Source organism: Homo sapiens, chromosome 15, assembly GCF_000001405.40.
Source record: "Homo sapiens chromosome 15, GRCh38.p14 Primary Assembly".
In the NCBI taxonomy this organism is placed as follows: domain Eukaryota; kingdom Metazoa; phylum Chordata; class Mammalia; order Primates; family Hominidae; genus Homo; species Homo sapiens.
In genome coordinates, this window is record NC_000015.10 from 96032084 (window position 1) to 96041872 (window position 9789).

At 38.8% G+C, this 9789-nt stretch overlaps 1 long non-coding RNA gene across 1 annotated transcript in view; it reads left to right on the forward strand.

Annotated features, from left to right (window-relative positions):
* The window catches only part of LOC112268156 (uncharacterized), a 236909-nt gene that overhangs the window by 41649 nt on the left and 185471 nt on the right, over positions 1-9789 (forward strand). The window lies entirely within an intron of this gene.

The window sequence follows — 9789 nt, forward strand, 5'->3', positions numbered from 1 at the left end:
AGGAAGAGTCCAATGGAAAAGCTGATAACCATATAAACTTGAGCGTTTCTTTTTCTTTTTGGTGCTGATAGAACACATGTATAGGACCTGAAGAGAGGAGTTATTCCCCAAATAGTGCAGAATTCCAAATGTTGACAGACGCCCTCATTCTCCATCAAAGCAAAATCCTCAAAAGGCTCTATTGGCTTGCCAGCCAGATTCCGTCTCTTTCTCAGCCAGTGTCTACATGTCCCAGTATTATTCAGGAAATAGTTATCTAGTAGGTACTTATTTCTCTCTATCCCCTATTGCCTTCCACATTGCTGATCATGGCCACAACTTTATTAACAACCCTTCAGGCAGATCAAGGTAGAGACAGGAAATTGGTCAGACCCTTCAAAACTTAGCAGGGCAAGATGTTGAAATGATTGGCTAACAAAATTATTTATTCAGTCTTTCCTTATTTTCCAGTAATACAGAAAATAATGAGTTGGCTCTAATAGACTTGACAACATCATTCAAAATATATAGAAAACCATATTTGTATGCATTAAATAGCTTGGATTCAATGCCAAATTTAATTTTTCCACATTGAATGAAGCTGGCATATTTTCAACTGCCAATTATTCATATAAGCACATTCTTACTGCACTTTAAAGAAGAAAAAAATGCAAAACTCTCTGAAGGCAGGATTGGGTCATCTTAATAGATCCAAGATATTGATCATTTAAGTGCTCAACAAGCAGCTGCTAAATTGAAAGGCAAATACTAATGTTCTTCATTTCACCAAACTGCCACTACTTTATATCTTCCCAACATTTTTAAAGTATTTTTAAATGCTAACATTTCCAAAGGTGGATGCCTCAAAATTAGATTTCAAGCACTCTAAGCACATGTAGAAATGCATCATCCAAATTAATTCCTACCTATTTAAAAAAAAAAAAACTTTTTCTGGAAACCTTAGAATTTTTGCAATGTTAAGCAAGTATTTATAACAATGATTAGCTTTATGTTCATGACCACAGCTCTTTTAGCTGACGAAACTGATCCAATTTGCTAACAAGTAAGTAAACTTGGAGAGAGGGGAGGGAGATGATAGGTAATAAGTTTTTAAGTGCCTGGAAGAAAACAGAGACGCTTTTTAAATAGAGTTTCTTTTTAAATGAGCAAAACCTATATGGTATTTAGATGAAACAACAAATTAGGATTGAAATGCAGGTAGTTTGCAATGTTTGAGGGAATAAGTGAATTTACAAGGTACAAGACCTTTTTACATATTAGAAGCTGTTAACTTGAAAAGCCTTAAGAAACACTGAAATAATCATTCCATCTTCATGGAGAAATAAGGAAATAAGTTTCTCAGAATCCTCAATCCTTTCAAAATTCCCTTGCATTTTTCCAAAGGAAAGTTTAAAAGTGAGATCTTGACCTTAGCTTCACACTTCTATGATAGAACACCTCTCGCCCTCTTGTCTCCTGACAGTCATGGATGGCCATAAGAAGTTTAATTTGGTAACTAAATGGTGAATGTTGATCTGCTGTGAGGTAGACTGGGCAATATTTTAATAAAAGTAGTTAAATGCCAAGATTTTGAATGATCACACACACATACAAGAACTGAAAGAAGCCTCTTCCTATAGCACCATCAGTCTGTCTTGGTGGTATGAGGACATGTGTTCTTGTATGAGAGGGATGTATGTGTGTGGCACCACAGCCATCTTCCAGGAACTACCCTTCCTAAGCACCCATGGGAGAATATAACTTACTTATCCACTACTGCCAAAAAGAAACCTCATCAGAGAGACTCAAGAATTTTCTCTGGAGAATATTGTGTTGTAACTTGACTCCATTGAGCCCCACACATAGAACAGAAGACCCTTGAACAAACTGGTAGCCGGGTTGTTAAATAGTCACTGTTATCTGCGAACAATCACTTATTAAGTAGATTTTATTTTATATATTATTCCACCCCCATCGTCTGGAATAATATATTGTTTATTTTGACACAGGACAGTATGGATGAATATCTCATCACAACAAACTTTGGAACGAGTTCTTTAAAAAAAATTCTAACTCTTCCTTGTGTCTGGGGACATGCAGGAAATGTACACTTTATCTCTGATGCTCATGTTAACCATGAAAGGGAGGGGCATTGCCCTGATTCGTAATAGGAAATTGACATTGAGATAAATTAACTAGACCAACATCCCTCAGCCAGAAAACAGCCAAATTAGGTTAGGGCCCCATCTGTGATAAAAGCTGATATATTTCCACTACCTGATGCCACCTTCCAAATGTGACCAGGATACACTTCCCTACAACAAATTCATCTGAGCGAATCATAGAATTTTAAAGGTGTTGGAGAGTTTAGGGGTCATCTCATCATCCTCTCTGGTGAATCAAATTGTTCTCAAACTCGTGTCCTGAACCAAATTTGTGAGCATGACAAATCTGGTCCCAGTCCAGTGTCCCCAGTCTGTGAGTGACTTCACCGTCCACTGGGTAATTCCAGCCAGAAACTGGGGGACATGTTCTAGAATCTTAAACCTGACTCATCACCATATGCTGTCAAGAGTGTCTCCTGAGCATCTCTTCATTCTGCTCATCCTCCCCACCAGGCTCTCAGGCAGGTAATGCCCATCCTCTCTTGACTGGTTTACTATCATAGCTGCCCCCTGCTTGACCCATTTCCACTCTTGGTCTCTTCCACCAAGTTCTTGACAAATCTTTTGCCAACCCAAATCTGATCACGCCCCATCCCCTTACCATATGCCTCCCTCTGCAGCCTTCTCTCACTGCAAGCTGCCCTTGCTCCTCCCTTGTACGTCCTCCAGTCCTGTGCACTTCCCCACCTGCCTCCCTTGCACGTTCCCTTTGCTCTGCCTGGACATTAAATTATCACGTCTCAGCTCAAGACATAGCTCTCCCTCTTTTTTGCTCACTTTTGAATCCTCAAAACCTATCACAGTTCATGCTGTATGGTGGCTAGGTTCCATGAATATTTATTGAATAAATCCTCCTCCATTTTATAGATTTAAAAAATTGGGTCCTTTGAGGATAAGTAAATGTCTCAAGACGTCAGCTGGTTAGGAACAGAATCGGCACAGAAACCCACACCTCCTCACTCCAAGTTAAGTGCCCCTTCCCCTTGGTTCCCCTTCCACTCTTGCCAACAGACACACGTCTGCCCTGCTCCTGTTTCCCAGGTGCCTCATGGCCCACTGAAGCATGCATATTCACAAACTATATTTAGAAGGCACAGCACAGCCAATTCTTCACAGAGCAAAGATGCCACAGACTGGAAGACTCCATCCTCAAAGTCACAAGTACAATCAACAACTCCGACTTCAAAAAATGAATCCTCAATAACCCCCTGATCCAGACTTTCCTTCATCTTGGCAGGAGGAGGATCTTACCAATCTGCCACCATCCAATCAATTATTGGGTTCAGCAGGGAGGGAGATGATAAGTGTGTCCTTCTCACACACAATAGAAATTGAAATTAATCTAATTAGTTTGAAGGAGCACTTCAATGCCACAGTGATCAGTACTAGATGTAGAGATGAAAGATGGAAATACAGATGAAAATTGATGGTTATTTTCTGTGTAGTTTCAGGTTGGAGGTAATTTTCGAAGATTTGTTTTGTCGTTAAGATTCCTTACACTGATGAGACCCAACTGCTTAACTCTTTAAGCACTTCCAGAGAAACTCGGGAATGCACACACCCGCCCACACACACACACACACACACACACACACACAGGCACACACATGACTACATAACAGGTAGATAAAGCTTATGCAAGTTGCAAATATAGCAGTTTTAGCTTCTATATCTCTTCTTTAGCATTGTGACTGTAAAAGAAGTGATTTTTTTTCCGTGTAAAATATTTAACCAGGATGACCAAGATCAAGTTGTTTGGTGGCTTGTGATGAATACTTGGGGTTACACAAATACTGTTTCTGTGAGAAGACTACCCCTCTCAATGAATTTCCAGTACCTAGGTGTGGTTTATGGATCTCCCATCAATGTATTAAAAATGGGATGTGCATTTGGCTTCTGTTTCCAATTAATGTGGCACTTTCAAATATTTCAGAAGGAAGCTATCGAGACATTATTAAGAAATGGTGACGGCGTTTCAGACAACTAAAGTCAAACTCAGGAGAGAAAATGCCAGCCACTGTTTAATAATAGTTTGTCTAATAAGATATTCATATTATCATATATGTCCCATCATAGAGGATAGATCTTAATGTCATTTTAATATTTTTCCTACTAAAATAAAATTTTAATTAAGGCTAAAGATATATTGCCTAAGGTAAGCTAAACTGTTTAAAATTATTAACTGCTTGAATACTTGTTGCTATACTACAAGCTTCCATAAAAGAAAAGAAATTAAGTACTCGAGGGATTAATGCAATTTTGAAAGCTGCACCCCCTCCTCCCTTCTTCTTTTAGATACGCCTAACTGAACCATAACTGTTTTTCTCCACTCAGCCAGACTCCAGCTTTGTGGCTTTTTTAATAACCTGGCTTTTCAAGGCCCTGCTCCGGAGAGCTTTTTCATTTCTGCCGCACTACCTACAAGCAAATTTCTTCCAGTTGCTCAACAGTCGAATGCCTCCCTTTCTTCGTTGCTGAAGCATTTCATTGCAGTTTCATTGACAGGGTGGTGTTCTGTTACAGTGGAATCAATAGCTCAGCGCTTCCCAGCACACCGATTAGCTTGTCAGTCAGGGCCTGGGGGAGGTAGTGTAAATCCCAGAATACCAGGGGCCAGGGGTTTGCAAACGGAGGAATGCACACAGGCCCCGTGGTTGTCTACCACCTGTTGCTGTGCAACATGTGCAGAGTGAATTAACTTTGTTGCTGCAACATGCCTTAAAGGTCAACTGCAATGGAAGCCTTAAGCTTTTGGAATATTTTAACTCATTACAAAAAATCCACCCCTCCTGATTTGTTACTGGTTCTGCGACAAAAAAGGGAATTTATTCTTTGAGAGGCTAAGTTTGACAAACAGGTTGTCGAATGTGGGGGCTTAGTCTAATCTGGAAGGGCATGGAGGGGAGGGCAACTGGTTTCTTATTTTATTTTTCAAAGTAAATGGCCTGCCTGCTTCTTGATTACACATTAATGGAAAACAGTTTCCACAGTTAATGTGAGCATGCTGTGGCTTTCCGTGTGGGGCGTGTGTGTGTGTGTGTGTGTGTGTGTGTGTGTGTGAGTGTTTCTTTCTCAAACTTCTAACAAGACTTTTTTTGATAACTGGGGAGTCATCGGTTTGTTTTGTTTTTGTTTTTTCTTCTCCAAATGTTGGACAAACACGATAATAAAAGAGTAAACAAAGAAATGCAAGATTCATGCAGAAGTTATTATGCATAACTTCTTGGACCACACAACAAAAAGAGGTGTGAGTATTCGAGTTAATAGGGGATTAAATGATTATTGTCTATTAGGAGATAATTACAAAGAGACGTGACTTCAATATACTAAAAAGAAAAGTTTTCCGGTTTCACCGTATAATGCTGTGAAAGCAACAACTTCAAGTGTCAATGATGCTTCCAGTCAACCTCAGGAAATCTTTTGACAGATATTTATTATCCAATGCCAGGTCACCCTAGACCACAAAAGGAAATTCTGTGCTTAGTACATCAAGACACTATGGGCTGAGAAAGGTTTGCTTTCAGCACTTGGAGTTTTCTCACGAAACCGCCTTTAAACTCACCACAAACCACAATGTAAACCAGTGCGCTTCAGATATGACTTGTTAACCTAATTCCACCAAATTAATTCACCCATTTTTAAAAGGATTTCTAATGATGCAAACAAAAGCTCCAAAGCCATGAGAACACCCATTTGAATTCAAAGGTTGGCAGAGAAAATATTAATGTTTTGAAAAAAAATACGCAGAAGGAAAGCATTGAATTCTACAGTGGCCAATGTAATTTTACCCCCAAAAAAGTTATTTACTGAGAAATAAATGTGTCCATTTCAGAACAGAGAAGGTATGTAGCACCCCCTGACTTCATTTCCCTGCGGGGGAAAACAAACGTGTATTCTAATTTAAAGTGGTTGCTTGTCTTTCTAATTCTAATGTGCAGTTGCTAGAAAAATATTATAGAGAAGTTTAATTCTTATACACTTTTAAAGATGTGAATATGTCTTTCTGTTCTTTCCATCCTTAGTTTTGTCAGTATGTTTAATGCCATGGGTATTTATTGCCCAGCAACAGCACACACGCCCCTGTAGCTAGCAATAGAGGGTGTAGTGATATAATGCAAAGAAAATCAAGTCCATGGTCCCTGGACTCCAGTCCTCTAATTCAGCAACACATCAAGTCATGTATAGCTTAGGAAGAGAAATTCATTCCCAGTAGTTAGTAAACATGACCACTCCAATACCATAACTTGGTACTGCATTGCCCAAAAATATACAAAAATATGCCTTCTTCTCTACAAGCTTACTTTCTAGCTTTGCACACACTTCCAGAAAAAGATTTGGTTATTTTAAATCAAACACAGCTCCACACTTTTGCAGAACCACAACCACTGGAGACCTGAGTGATGTTTCTCCTGGTAATGTCCAACTATTTTTAATAACTGCTTTTTCTGAAATCCCGCAGCTACCTTTAGCAAATGAATTCAGGACCTGATACCAGTAACCCCTTAAAACTCTGCCACGAGAAAAAGAAATTGAAGACAGATACACATAAAGAAAAATGAGTCATCATGCCATTGTGATTCCATCTCAGAATTTTCTCTAGCAGTTCTCAGATCCACCCACAATACCCTGTGGATTTCAAGGTGGACATGTGACAGGCATTATGTAGACAGATACAGGATAGGATAGATGTGAGAGCTGAAACCACGTTTACAAGAAATGGGGAAACTACATTTTCCATGTCTTTACCAACATTCTGTTAAAATTTGTGTTTTCAGTTAAAAGCGTCTAGCTGTGTACACTGCCTTTATAGTCACTACGGCTCTGTGTGAGTGTAACTTAGTTTTATTTCACAAGTATGTGTGAATAGCTGCTCCTGCCATCTCCTAACAGGGGACTAGAGTCAGCTCCCACAGAGTAAGAATCCTCTGCTGTCATGGCGTCTTATTAAGCCCATACATGATGATACCTCGCCGGAACATTCCAAGCGATGTTTTAACTCCTCCCTACTGCCCAGCACCTGCTTCACATGCACCCGAGCCAAAGGTTGCTGCAGTCCCCATGCTCGTGGTAGCCCACGCTGTACCAGCCCACACACAAAATTATGTTCATTTGCAGACAGGCAGACTTCTCTGGTGAATATCCAGATGGGCCCCTCAAGATCAAATAAACTCACACTAAGCTATGAAAGAAAGGTTCTACTGATGCTGCTATCACCTCAACTTCCGACATTGTTTGAAAGAAGCAAAACAAGATGGTTGTACAGGGCACTTTCTTCCCCAGAACCTGACAGGCACGGTCAAGTTGTCTATTTTGCTTACTTCAAAGAATATTACATTTGAAATCTGTATTATTATTAGTACTTATTGTTCAAAGTATATTGGCATTGCATACATTTTGTAGATAATGATAATTGTTTCTCTGATCTGGGACCCAACCGGACATTTTAAATAGGAGTGGCTACAAATAGATACATCTGGAACATATAAACATTCACCAATACTTGCTTGGTTACATGACTTATACCATTGCATAAAATGTTACAGAACTGAGGTGATTAGAATCAATCACCCCTGTTGGATGGGATTAAAATCTTATCTAGCTCTTTACCACTGGAAACCTTGCCATACCAGGGACACTCCAGGCTCAAGTAATCTGCAGAAAACCTATTACAGTGTCTATTACATTATATTTTTATTTCACTCTATTATATTCTCAAAAAGAGTTAACATGAGTTATAGCTCTAATACACCAAGATAACATGAAAATTAGAATAAATAGGCAAGGAGAACAAGTGAGAAAGTCAAGAGGGAAGTCGAATGTGTCTGGGCATCATGTAGACGGTACAGCTTGGAAGTAGGTCAGGTGACTATGAAGTTCTCTCAACTGCCACCTGCAAAGGTCTGAGGGTGACCTTGTCAGCAAATTCAGACAAGGAATAAATAACTAATCATTTGGGAGACTGTAGCAGACACACGAGATGAAAATTTATTTTGCCACCCCAGATCCATAGGAAAATAAAGTGGGCGGTACTTTTCTTTCTTCTGTTGAAATTGATATATAAAAACATGCTAATTACATCAGATTAAATATAAATTTTATTTATTCAATTATCTGAATGACTTAAGACTGAATTAATTTTGACTTCAATATTATAATCAGCTTTACATTAAGCATTGCGAAAGTGAATTTCTCATCCTGTGTAACTTTCTTCTTTTCATTAACATATTTTCAGAACACTTGCTTTATATTATAGTTTGTCAGGAACAAGATACACATCTGCATAATAATCATAATTCTACATGCTTTATTCAGTCAGGTAACGATTTCCTAATTCTTAGAGAATCTTCTCCAAATTCTTCCAACGGATCATACACACTCACTTTCCACCTCCATGGGCAAAACAGAACTTGCTTCACATTTTATTATTTTGTTTAGTCATCTGTCATCTGGTAGAAAAAGAGAGAGCACGAGCAGCAGGGAAGAGGAATGGAAAGGATGGGAAGAGGAATGAAATTTTGGGGGAGTGACAAACTTCACATGGATATTCACAATATTTATTGGTCCATGCACCTTCAGAATTTTTTCATTGAATATCAAACATTCTAGTAAATGCCTAAAGCTACTCACTCTAATATCAGTTGTATGGTGATTAAGAAGGAGCAAAAAACTGGGGGATCATGGGGACCGAGTGTTAAATTTTAACCTTGCTACTTAGTGAATCTGCCTTAAGACCTGCGGTCTGTTACTTACTCCCATTTGACTTCAATTATGCCTCAACTATTGAACAGAGACAATAGTATCAACTTTCAGCGTTATTACTAGAATTAGAAATAATATAATAAGCACCTATAGTAAGTGGCTGGAACATGTTAGGCACTCAATAAAAAGTAGATGATATTAAATTTCCTGTTCAGAAATAAACGGTATTACATTCCCAGAATTAAACTGCTGTATAAAAACTTATAAATTAATTTGCTAATTCCCATGATATTTAGAAATTGTGTATTGAGTCCCAATGCCTTTAAAGATGGTCCTGTACAAACAGGGGAACAACAGACACTGGGCCTCTCAGAGAGTGGAGGGTGGAAGGAGAAAGAGAATCAGGAAAAATAACTAATGAGTACTACACTTAATGCCGGGGTGACAAAATAACCTGTATGACAAACCCCCATGACACAAATTCACCTATATAACAAACCTGCACATGTGCCCCTGAACTTAAAATAAAAGTTGAAATAAATAAATAAAGATGGTTTTAGTAACAGTATCTTAAGAACACTAGAGAGTCATATTATCCAGGTCTTATCAGGGGACCCAGATGGGATCACCAGGTTGTCAGTACAAGGAGACTAGCATGCAAAGGGAGAGGCAAGATGTTTATAAAGTACCTCTTATTGAGTGTACACCTCAAAAACACCAGGCCAAATGATGTATATGCATTACCTAATTTAATACAACACATCTACAAGGCAAGTACTATGGAGATAGCCACTTTAGAGCTGAGAAAACTGAGATACTGGGTTCTCCAAGGTCTTCATCACAGTCCAACTCTGGAGCACATGCTGCTAGCTCCTGTGACAGGATAAATATAAGGAGCAGAACTACAAATCAAGCCTGTGATATAATAGGTATAATGTCGATTGGG